General features: G+C 35.4%; 1 protein-coding gene across 14 annotated transcripts in view; it reads left to right on the top strand.

Moving 5' to 3' along the window:
* VAV3 (vav guanine nucleotide exchange factor 3) overlaps positions 1-13,045 on the top strand; it is a 394,020-nt gene that overhangs the window by 280,122 nt on the left and 100,853 nt on the right. For 12 of the 14 annotated variants that reach the window (XR_007063680.1, NM_006113.5, XM_024450319.2 and 9 more), the window contains one exon: positions 1,526-1,571. The exons of the other annotated variants lie outside the window; for them this stretch is intronic. Coding sequence is in view for 11 of the 12 variants with exons in the window: in NM_006113.5 (NP_006104.4) it covers positions 1,526-1,571 (46 nt within the window). In the remaining variant the exon portion in view is untranslated. The remainder of the gene's footprint in view (positions 1-1,525; positions 1,572-13,045) is intronic. 14 annotated transcript variants of the gene reach the window in all.

The raw sequence follows: 13,045 nt of genomic DNA, 5'->3' as shown, positions 1-13,045 counted from the left end.
TAGTACTTTGATAGTAGCAGGTATAAAATCAGTAGAAAGACAGCTTCTATTGTGCATTAAGAAGATGATGGGATATGTAGCAAGTAAATAGCAAGTTGCCCATCATTAAATAATTTCCTGTTGAAAATACTGTCAATTGTGTTGTTCGATGTTGTTTATATAGAGTTCCTCTAAATTATAAAATTTCAGACAGAAAAGATTTTTTCTTTAAATTAGTGTTCTTTCATATTATCAGACATGAGTCTGTAACTCATTATGCTTCCAATTTTTGTGCCTTGGCTACCAACAAATCTAGAGCAAAATTTTCCTTTCATTCACAATGACTCTTGTTACAGCTTTTCTAGTGCAGCTATCCATCTTGCTCAACATAGCTTCAATGCTGATTTTAATGATCCTAGCAGTCTTTTACAAATCCATGTTGAAAGTAGTTGGAGTAAAAACCAAAATTACATTTTAAAAATTTCTCCAATTTGCTTTCACCTGAGAACCCTGCAAGTCTGCTGGATATGACTTTGAGGCCCTTAGGAAGGCTGGAAAAAAACCTCATTTCATCCATTTAACTTGTGAATGAAAACAACAGAAAGAACCCTGAGAGAAATCCATGGCTAATGTGTGCTTAGCACAGCCAAGTGTGCTCTGAATGAAACCAAGTCTTCACACACAGATACAAACCCCAACACATAAAAAGAAAATTGCTTTTGTGAAAATCTAGATTGTATGATAGTCATAGACTCAGCATTTCATCCAGTTGCATAATAAAGAAGTGAAATCAAGCCCTTCTTAATTAGTGAGATTACTGTAGTTAGGTGGGAATGAGTTTAATGCTTTAGAAATAAAATATGTAGCCATGCATTTTCATAGATTTAAAATCTCTTGTTTTGTGTTTCATCTGTAATTTTTGTAATGCAAAGTTGTTTTCTTACAGATTCATTTTCTATAATAAGAATTCATTTTTATGATTCACAAGCTGCATGTCTGTTTTGTTTTTTAAAGTGTTCAGATACAACTGGTCTATAATTAAAACACTATTCTCATTTAAGTGTTGGCTAAAATCAGAGCTTCAGATCTTTGTTTTGAGGTTGTATACCTTCTTCAGTCTGGTCTGTGAGGTCCCATAAATAGCTGAGTTAGAGTTTTATGAGATCAGTTTAAGGCTGTTGTTGCTCATATGTCTTGGCTGGGAACATATTCTAACCAAGATGGCTGCTGGGCTTTGTTCTCTCCATCGTCACTATGACTTAACAAATTGAGTCCCAATATTTGGAGTTGGCAACCAAAAAGATTTTTTTTCTTACTGTTATAAGGTACCAACAACTTATCAAGTGTAATGATATACACGTGGAAGACTTACTAGAAAAACAAATAAAACAAACTTTAAAACCATATTCTGATCAAATTTAGTCATACTTTGACTTGGAAAATGTGCAACATTCATTTGCTTTCCAAAGTGCCAGTAGTAATACAATTTAATAGTGCAAAATTACCAACACATATTTGTTTTGCTTTGTTTTACTTTACTGCACAGAAACGGACCAATGGACTGCGAAGAACTCCTAAACAGGTGGATCCAGGTGTGTTTCTGATTAAACCTTCCATAATTATGGCTTCAGCTAAGTGCTTATGAAAGGATATGGGAATTGCTGTGGAAAGTGAGGCATATTGTTGGCCTTTGTTCCTCATAATTTGGTGTATAATGTGTGACCAGGAGGTCATGGTCTAACGTGTAAATCATTCACATGAGTAACTACCAGCAACTACCAGCATTGCACTCTTTCCACAGTCAGCAGTTGAGCTGGTTATTTGCTTACTGAACAGCCTCAGGGTGCCTGGTTAATGCTCACATATCCAGCACCCTCCCTGTGTTCCTTTGTAAATCTAGTAAGAAAACCAGCCAGCTAGCTGCCACTTAAAAATCACTGTTTTCTAAGTAAGTAGGGGAGAGCATAAACCAGACAACTGGTACCCACCCTCCATCAGAGAAAATTTCTTAATTCTATATCCATGCTATTTTATAATAGCAGCATGTTTTTTGGGGACTTTGTGACAAGTTTCCTCTCCGGAGACCAATTATTTGTCTGCAGAAAACGTTCAGTTGTTTTCTATTTAGCATTGTGAGATTTGCCCTGTCATTATGTTAGTATAATTATTTTTCATCCATTATGCAATGCCTTCTTTCCACAGTTTAATTACCAAAGATTTTTTATGTATGTGATCCTTTTGTTGTGAGTAAAAGGTATTCACAGTTAAAGGATTCCAAATACACGAACTTGATGATAAACCAAGGGGAACATGAGAAATAGAGTAGCTTTGCTGGAAAATAATCTGGACTATGTGTTTCATTTTGTTTTCCTATCATAAGTGGTATTCACCTAGTTGTAAAGTTTAGTTTTCAAAGCATTATAGTTTATAACTGAAACCACACCCATGGTAGCATTGCCAGTTTATGAGCTGTTTAAGATTTATAGGAGCTTTGTTGCCTCTGGCTAGAAATTGCCTCACTTGTGTCCTGAGACTAGTTTAAATCTTTTAACTACAGAACAAATTTGAAGCCATTAAAAAAACAGGGGTTCTGGTTTACTTTTTAATAGTTCTGACTTTCCCAAGACAATATCCTTTGCAGAGGACTCCCTGCAATAATATTTAGAAGTGACTTTCTCTATTATTTTCAGTAGGGGTATATGACTGTGAACATAATATTTTTGTCTTATTTTGTGTGAGTTATAGTATTGCTGTTTCAGAAAAATTACTTAACCTTTATAAGTGTTATTTTTTTAATGTATTTTTTCTTTCTTCTCCCCTCAGGGAAATGCATTTTTGTATTTGTAGTATGTCAATAGGAACATATTTGACTCAACCATTTATAGCCAAAATTTTCTAGAATCCCTTACATTATTTAGATTAGTAAATTCCCAGATTAGAAATATGGCAAAGTAGAACAACAATAAAACAGATTTATACTCCTTTATCCTAAAGGTGATGGCTTTGTATAGGTACAGTTTTTTTGTTTTGTTTTTCTATTTGTCCAAAGACTTTAGAACTTCATGAAGAATAAACTTACAAGAGAAGTGCTGTTGTATTTATGTTTGTAAGAACATACGTGGCTGGGTGCAGTGGCTCACGCCTGTAATCCCAGCACTTTGGGAGGTCAAGGCCGGCGGATCACGAGGTCAGGAGATGGAGACCATCCTGGCTAACACGGTGAAACCCCATCTCTACTAAAAATACAAGCAAAAAAAAAATAGCTGGGGGTGGTGGCGGGTGCCTGTAGTCCCAGCTACTTGGGAGGCTGAGGCAGGAGAATGGCGTGAGCCCGGGAGGCAGAACTTGCAGTGAGCCGAGATCGCGCCACTGCACTCCAGCCTGGTGACAAAGCGAGACTCTGTCTCAAAAAAAAAAAAAAAAAAGTTTTCCATTACGTATAATAAATGTATATGAGTGTATTTTTCCTTTTTCCATATTTTTGGAAATAAAAAACCCAAACACTTGATGATCTTGCCTGTTGAAGCTGCTGATATAGTAAGCCTATTTCTTCCCACAGCTGTCTTTTGATTTAGGCTTGACTTATGTATTTAAAGTTGCTTGACTTTTGGATTTCTGCCTCTTTCTGCTGGTTAGTTGCAAAGCTTCTTTGTTCAAAGTTAACCCTTGCTTGATGACCAGCGTGCCTTGATCCTCATGTGGCTATTGTTTAGAGATTTTCAGACAAAATGTTTAAACAAGGGATCAGTAAAGTTGAGTCTGCGTAGACAAACTGCTTCCACAATGCATTATTTGCTGTTAGTATTTCTACCATGGAAGTTCCTTTGATTTTTTTTTATCCTACAGTTAATTTACTTAACATCTCCAAGTGTCAACACATGACTTTGCAGGGCCTCACTTAAAGTGGCTTATAAAAGCAACTGATTAAAGAGTTTAGGAGGCCGGGTGTAACTACTTCACCAGGTCCAAATTTCAGAGCCATGTTCAAAGGTATATTATATATATTCTCTATAGCCCTTTTGCACTGGAAAGGAACTTAATGCATAGTCCAGTGGGTAGTAGGTGCTTAATAAATGCTACATGAATTAATAAGTGATGATACAGTTTTTATGTATGCATTGACATTCTTTCTTTTTAAATTCCTCCTGCTGATATGCTAATGAAACACAGCATAGTCTAGTGGTGGGAAGCATGGCTCTGAGCCATGTTGCCTGGGCTTGGGACTGGCCTTAGCTGTTTACTTGCTGTTTGAACTTCGGCAGTTTGCCTCCTCTCTCTGTGCCATAGTTTCCTCATTTGTAAAAGGAAATGAATAAGAGGACCTACCTTACGTTGTTGTTGTGAGCATTACGTGAGCTAATATATGTAGGCCAGGCGCGTTGGCTCATTCCTGTAATCCTAGAACTTTGGGAGGCCAAGTGGGAGGATCACTTGAAGCCAGGAGCTTGGGACTGTGGTGAGCTGTGATGGCACCACTACATTCCAGCCTGGGTGACAGAGCAAGACCTTATCTCAAGAAACAAAAGAGCAAGTAAAGTACTCTCAAAGGTGCCCAAGTAAAGTACTCTCAAAGGTGCCCAGTATATAGTAAATGCTAAGTATAGCAATTACTATATCAACTAATTTATATTAGAGCATGTTCTTTAATATTGGACTTTTTGTCATGTGAAGGAGAATAATATTAAATAGACCCTGAATTTTATGTTGAATTTCTGTTGAAATAAGAAGCTACATAATCACAGTCATTTTCAGATTTGTTGTTATTCCCCCTTAATCTAATGGCTTTCATGATCTTTTGCTTATCTTTACCAATAAACATAGTCAACTGTGATAGTTGAGAGGTTTTTTTTTTGGTGAAATTATTAGTGTTTGTTATTGCAATAAAGAAGCAAAGAAAAACTCCCAATATTGAAAACATATATTGTGGGGTTTATTCAAATCCAAGAAAGAGTGAACTGTAGGTTTGTGTTGTAGCTTGTTAGCACATTTAAATCATTCACTCCCTATTAATAATTGTGATTAATCTTTATAGACAATATTTGCAAATGGCTTTGCTCTTTATTTTTTCTTGTCTTCTATTGTGTGCTAATAAAAGTATCAACTTATAATCTTGGCTGCTTTTATAAATATAGTAATGTATTAGATGCAAATTCTGGTAGCTCTTTTGAATTTCTTAAATATAGCAGGGAATTTTCATCAGTTTGTACTTTTCTTCCTAAGACAGATGTTGGTATCAGGAAAATAACACTTGTAACAGACATATCAATTATTTCAGGAACACGGAGGTGCTAGGCCTTTTTCAAGAACATGAGATCATAAATCTCAAGAAAATCTGAGCACTGATGTAATATTTTTCACCTAAAGTGGCACTCAAGGTCAAAGTTACCAATTAAATTTTAATACTGAGCTTTAAAAATTTCCTTCTGTCTCAGTGTAGGAGATACAAGATTTATTTCAGTTTGCATGTGGCAAATCTGTATACCAGGGCATGTATTCTTTTCACTGGGTCCATGTTTTTAGATTATTGCAAAATTGTCTTATATTTGTGGAACTCATAGCATCCTGCATTTAAGCCTACAGTCACTAGCTTTTAAACACTTCAGGCGACCATTCTGTGTTGTGCTGCCTAAAGATTATGTGGAGTAGATGGGAAATGTTTAAATAGCTTACACTCTTTCTGATCTTAAGTTATTCTTGTGCTTTGTGATAACCTTGAATAATAAATGAATAGGTAATGATTAAATTGATAAGAGTCCTTTCTGACAACTCTTGTTTCTCAGATGCTCATTGTTAGACTCTTGATTACAAAGAGTTGCATGTGGCTTAGAAAAACTGTCTTTTCTTATTCACCAAGGAGATGTCTTACTGTTTTGTAGCAGAGACATCTTCAAAGATGGTCACTTCCTCTTTCAGGTGGATAGGATTGACATATAACGCCATTCTCATTTGTTATTGTATGAAGAAAGGAATCTAAGAAATCTTTCTTTCATTACCAATTTCATTTCTTATCTGACATTAAGCACAGGATTGTCATTAATTATAAAACATGGCCCCTTTCCGCAAAGAATTTATATTCTTCCTAGGAAAGGAATAGATATAGACACAAAGTTCTGATTGCATAAATGCATGTATATAAATGTACATATAAAATTTTTAAATATTATATACTATTTTTGTGCAGATTTATTACGTATAGCAGTGTCTTAAAAACAATTAGTGAATTGTTTAATAAACATATAAAAAGATCTAGGATTACACAATACATACAAGAAAGCAAAACAAATTGGGAAACACAAATGTCTCAAATTGCTTTTAAGCTGGGTTACATATAAATGTTTTCATTTATATAAATAAAAATTTTTATACTGGTTTATTGTATTGAATTACAATTTAATACTATTGTTCTTAGTGTTTTAATTTCAAAGGATTGTGAAATTTATTCCAAGTCTAAACAGAATTGTTGATTTCTTTTAGATTTGCTTTTAAATGTAATGTCAATATGTTCAATAGAGAAATTTTATATTTTTGTTTCCAAATAGAAAACATTGAGAAAAATAACAACAGAGTGTTTTCAAATGCACTTATCTAAAAATACATTTTATCTCTTTTCTTTTTTATGAGGGAGACAAATGCATATTCCTGAAGGTTTTAGTAAATGAGCTTTTGTCTATAATAAATAGTAAAGTTTCTATAGATTAGAATATTTCCATATTAATCAGTCAAACCTGCTTCTGTCTTTTCTATCACCTCTAAAGCTAATTTCTCATCAAATATAAATCTTAATCTAAATATTGGGAGCATAATTGTAAATGTGTAAAAATATATTTCACATTGAAAGAAATGAACTTGAAAAAACTGGGACAGTAAACCCAGTGATTAAGATTCATTGCAGAGAAATGAGAAATCCAAGCTGTGAACAAATGCTGAGGAGCATGCTCTGGTTTTTAAAATAGCCGACTTTTTTTCAAGCTTCTATGAAACCATGGACAATAAGACTAGTTTTGCACTAGGACAGTTGATCTTCTTGTAGTCATTTTCAGGACTACCTTTCTGATTCCCTTTTCCGTGATAACAGATTTCTGAAATGAGCACCACAGCCTCTTGCTCGCATCTTTCTTGGTTGGAGGAGGATTTATTTCTCCCCTTCAAGGCTCATTCCGAGTTCACAAAGGATCACTACTTCTGTTGTCTGGCAGGTCTGTGCATGCCTTGCCAAGCCTGTCTTTTATACTGGTCAGGCACCTTCAGAATCAGAACAAAGGTGAGGTGAATATCTGGAGATGTGCATGGGGGTGCTTTTAGATGGAAAATATACATCAGTAATATGACTACTGAAATAACAGAATGTTTGAATTATATTTAGAACCTACTCTGGGCCATTTATGCACTTCTAACAATTTCTATTATTGTAGTAGTTATGTTTTAGAAGATAAAGTATATATCTATTAAATATTTAGAAGAAAATCCTGAAAAAGAAGTAATGAACCTAGTGAGCTACTTCGAACATTTATCATCAATAAACTGTTCCTTACTTAGAACGTCAGATATGGAGTGGACTTCCTTTGCCATATCTATGGTTATGCTGGTTGAATACCATTCCATTTCAGAAAAAGAAGGATATGCCATTGTAATGCTAAGTAGATAAAGAAAAGTCAGTAATTTCTTATGGGCCAGCAACCTCTGAGAGGCAGATGATTTTCTTTCAGCACTTAGGTCTGAAGTAACTTAAATGAAAGGAACTAACTGGGTCAAAACATATTGACTTTGTATAACAATATTTGATGCAAATGATATCCAATTGATTTCAGGAGAGGACATTGATAAAGTAATTCTTAATATAATTTATGATCTTATTTATACTACAGTTCTATGTAGAAATAGCAAGATTATTATCAAATTAATTAGAACCCTGGAGTGCTATTTGTGGAATTTCTGTCAAAATGACTCATATTGGCAATTAGTTATCTTTCAGCATATTCAAATCAAGTTGACTTCTAAATTTTTAATTTGAATGAAAATAAAAGCTTATGTTTGGTTCTTATAATTGTTTTTATGGATCGTTTTTCCTTTGAGGCTCATTCATTTTCTTCTATATAGGTATTAGAAACGTGGAAGTTCCTCTGCCTTTGAGGAACTTGGAATTTTGCTGGAGAGTTAAGACATACAAACATAACTTGTCAAAGTAATATTGTAGAGTACATGATGAACTACCAAAGTGTGTCGTATAGGTTATGAATGATCTGGTTGACTGTGAAGGCAGATGAGGGAGAATTTTTTGCAAACTGAAGGACACAGGACAAGGAAACAAAATATCTAAAACAGACATCAGTAAAGGTAAATTTACTAGAACTACATATGTTTAAATGAAGTTATCAGTCTGTTCCTAGGTTTGGGTCAGTTCAATTATATACCAACCAATATGCTTTTGATTACCAAGTGACAAAAATCCATTTCAAACTAGCTTAGGAAAAAAAAAAGTTTTCTGACTTAGGTAACTGGAATTCCAAAGCATTTTGGCTTCAGGCAGAGATGGATCCAGGGACTCCAACTGATATCATTAGGGTTCAGTTTCTCTTTGTGTCTTAGTTCTCCTTTCTCCTCTATTGGCTTCTTGTCAACATGCACCTCACAGAGGTTTTTCTCATGTGGAGGCAAAGTTGTCTGTTAGCAGCTCTTCATGTACATTGTCCCCACAGCTGGTTAATTCAGAGAAAATAGAACATCTTTCTCTCAGTAAATCCAGCAGAATCCCAAGGAGAGCTTTAATTGGCCTAGCCTAGACCATGTGCTCTTCTCTGAAGCAATCACTGCAGCCAGAGTGCTCTGTTGATTGGCCAGCCTGGCTTCTGTGCTCACTTCTCAGGTGGGAAGTGGGATTGAACTAGCTTGTCCACATGGAATTTTTTTTCTATAATTCTGTTTACAAATGAATAAGAGAGAGGAAAGAGAGGCTTGGTTTTAGCAGATTAAAATGTACATCTATTATTGTGTGCAACAAGTTTCAGACAGTTTTCATCCTTGGGCATACTGTGCCTAGGTTTTCCACCTCTCCTACCTTGTCCTTTTTCCATTTGTAGGATCCTCTGTTTGATAGTTCTCTGGTATCCAAAATGGTTGATGTGGAGAAGTGAACCTAAAATAGGAACTGGAGATTCCCAACAAAGGTTTATTCCAACTGGAAGCTTTTTGTTTGCAGTGGTAAAAGAAAACACTAATTTTCTTGCCACATATTTGATCTTCTTGTAGCCCTGTCATGGTACCTCACTGTTTTTAGACAGTGATCATCCTTTTTTCTACTGTTATCTACTGACATGTTAGCATAGATTGGTTTATCGGATTAGAGAACTGAGGAAACAGAACCTAACACAGCATGTTTTGTGGGGACAGAATTGAAGAAAGGTGCCATCCTTAAAGGAAAGGTCAGGGTAAGAATGTGGGAGAGCCAGATGATACAGCTCTTAAGGCATTAAATTTAAGCCACTACCTGCTTCACGGCAATAAAGGAGTAATGAGGAAAGAAAGAGAAGGAGAGATCTTTTTAAATTTTATCTGTATTAAACATATTCATGCATAATAGCACTTTTAATCTCCAACGGTAGCCCTGTGTGGTGGTATAGACTGAGGGTTCTACAGTGGCACAGATCTGGATTTGTGTCCTGCCTCTCTACTAACTAGCTATATAGTCTTAGGCAAATAAACCTGCTTATCATCTCTAAAATGGAAGTAATAGTAGCAGCCATCTCCTAGTATTATTATGAAGATTAAATGAGATAATGAAGTATCAACCAAGTTTAGCACATACTAAGTGCTCTGAAGATTATGATGATAGTGGTGGTTATTGATACATATAGATACCTGTATTTTCTATTGCTATGTAACAATTTACCATGAATTTAGCAGCTTAAAACGACACACATGTGTTATCTCAGTTTCTGTGAATCAGAAATCTAGGCATGGCTTAGTTGGGTTCTGTGCTTCAGGGTTTCTTACAATACTTCACTTAAGATATCGGCCAGGGCTGGATCTCATCCGAAGGCTCAACTGGTGATGGGTTCACTTTCAAACTCACTTACACTGCTTTTCGCGGGATTCCATTCCTTTTGGACTGTGAACTGAGGGCCTTATGACCTGGAACACTTGGCCAGAAGCTGTCTTCAGTTCTTTACTACATGGACCTACTCACCATGGATGCTTGCTTCATCAGAATATGCAAACCAAGAAGGTGATAGGGTTTCCTTGCAAGGTGGACATTAAAATGTATAATATAATCACAGAAGTGACATCCCATCACCTTTGCCATATTCTTTTGGCTACCCACATTCAGGGAAGGGGATTAAGTATGTCAGTACCAGGAGGCAAGGATCATTGGGGTTTTTCAGCAGAGGGAACCAAAGTTCTGAGAGGTTAAGTACTTCAACCAAGGTCACACAGCACTTGGTGGGTGCCAAACTTAATTGCAGCATATTTGGCTTTAGAGACCTTATCCTTCGACATCTTCTGTATATTTTACTTATGTCAAGCTTTGGACAGAGAAAAGCTTATTTCCTGTGGTCTAGCTGTATAGTTCTGTGCAAATTAGCAGTGGGATCTGGTCTGATTTTCAGAGTTCATTAGTGGCTGCTGTTACCAAGCAGATTTATGGGTGATTTTATTTTATGCATTGTTAATTTTGAAAATGTTAATCTGAAATTGCTACAGTATTTCAATTAATTTGGGTGATTAAAACTTAGCACCAGAAGAATCCCTACCAGAAGATAAGGCAGCTAATTAGAGGTTCTGAAACAAACAACTGTAGACACTGGCACTGAAACACGCCATGTGTATGACACCCAGCAGAACTCACTCTGCTTAACAGTTTGGAAATGGAAAGAATAATTTCTGCCAGTCTAAATATTAAACTTGAATGCAGTTGAATTTTTTAAAAGCTATTTTAAGGAGTTAACTATTTGAATCAATATATAGTTTTTAAATATCATGCAGTTCTGAAAAACTACCTTCAGATTATTTTGCAGTGTTGGCTTTTGGATAACTGCAGTAGTGACAGAAATACAATAGATATTTGTTGTCCAAGTATTATTTAAAAATGAGGCAGCATACACTTTTTAAAAAATGACACTTGAGCTTCTTTTGCTAGAGTTTTGCATTTTGTAAAGTTTATCTTAAAATATTCGGAAAATATAAGGAAGTGTAGAAAAAGTTCTCTGGACAAATTACCTATAATCCTCTCACTCAGCTAATCACCCTGTATACTTTTGTTACACACTTTTTTCCTCATATGTTTATTTTTTATGTGCAGCCACATGTTTATTAAATGCCTATGTTTCCAGTTTGGTATTCTCCTTTTATCACTTAATTTTGTTTCATTGAGCGAATTTGTTGATTCATTTGTTCTTTCAACTCTTTGACAAGTATACTGACTTGGTGTTAAGTGTACAAGAATGAACAAGATGTGTTTTCCCTCACACAACTCCCTATGTCCTGGAGCAAAGGTAATGGTGAAGATTTGAGATCAGGGAGATACAGAGGGTATACTTAAAAGAGGCATAGACTTTAGATATGTGAGCATCAGGAAATGATGTCTAACCTGGAATCCAGGATATGAGCAGGGATCAACAGCATCTAAATGGAGAGAAGAGGGTTGCAGGCAGAGGGAACAGCTCCAAGAAAGGCCCTGAGTTGGAGAAGGCACAGGATGGTTAGGGTTGGAGCAGGAGAGCCATTCACAAAGAGAATGGAAGGAAAACCAAGGCAGGATCTTGGTTGATGCACATCAAGGAATTGGACTTTATTCTGATGAACAGATTGAGCCTTTGGAAAGGTTTTATCCAGAGGAGTGACATGGGCAGCTAGGACTGGTTGAAAAGATCACCCTAGCCGCACTTGAATCTTGAGTCATTAAATACTCTTCAGAAAAAAGGAAGTGGGTTTTAGTATAATTTATTGTTGAACATTAGTCTTTCTAATTTTTATTTTTATAAATGCTTTGAGGAACATCTGTGCATGAACATACTTTTCCATATGGCTGATTATTATTTAACAATGGCGTCATAGAGGTACAATATCTGGGTCAAAGCATATGAACTCCTAGATTTTGGATGTAGATGTTGCCAAATTTACCTTTTAGAAATGTTACATTGAATTATGTCCCCACATATTATTGGGGTATGAGAATATGTCTTATTTTATGCCCACCAACCTTGTATTGTTCTTTTCACTATAAGTCATTAGATAGGAAAATAATAGTATCTTACTATCATATCATAGTAGTTGATACCATAATATGAACTTCCTTGATTTTTAGTGAGATAGATTATTTTAATGTTTTTGGCTATGTGTATTTTTTTCTGAGAATTATCTATTATGCTTACTCCCTCTTTCTATTCAAGATTTGGTGCTTTTCTAAATTACTTGTAAGAATATATGTGTGTGTGTGAGAGAGATCAATCTTACATTTATCGAAAATATTTTTATATTTTTTTTCTGGTGTATTTGTTTCTATATAAAGTTTTAAATTTACCAGGAGTCAAAGTTACAGACATTTTATTTATGATCTGTTTTACTGCTTTTATGCTTAGAAAATTTTCCCTCCTCTGACTTATTAAACACCTACTTATAATTTTATTGTTTAATTTTTGTAGCATTTGGCCATTTAACTTATTTTTAAGTAATAACTTATTTAACTTATTTTTATTTAAGGAATAGATTTTAATTCTGTGACTAATTCCAAATGTACATTAAAATGTTTTTCAGGATTTACATTACAAGATTTTACAGAATTTAAATTTATCTTTTTTTTTTTTTTTTTTTTTTTGAGACAGAGTCTTGCTCTGTTGCCCAGGCTGGAGTGCAGTGGCAAGATCTTGGCTCCCTGCAACCTCTGCCTCCCAGGTTCAACCGATTCTTGTACCTCAGCCACCCAAGTAGCTGAGATTGCAGGTGTGTGCCACCATGCCTAGCTAAGTTTTTGTATTTTTAGTAGAGGCAGTGTTTCACCATGTTGACCAGGCTGGTCTCAAACTCTTGGCCTCATGTAATCCTCCCGCCTTGGCCTTGCGGCGTGCTGGGA

This window comes from Homo sapiens, chromosome 1 (assembly GCF_000001405.40).
Source record: "Homo sapiens chromosome 1, GRCh38.p14 Primary Assembly".
Lineage (NCBI taxonomy): Eukaryota > Metazoa > Chordata > Mammalia > Primates > Hominidae > Homo > Homo sapiens.
This window is presented reverse-complemented; position numbering and strand designations above follow the sequence as displayed.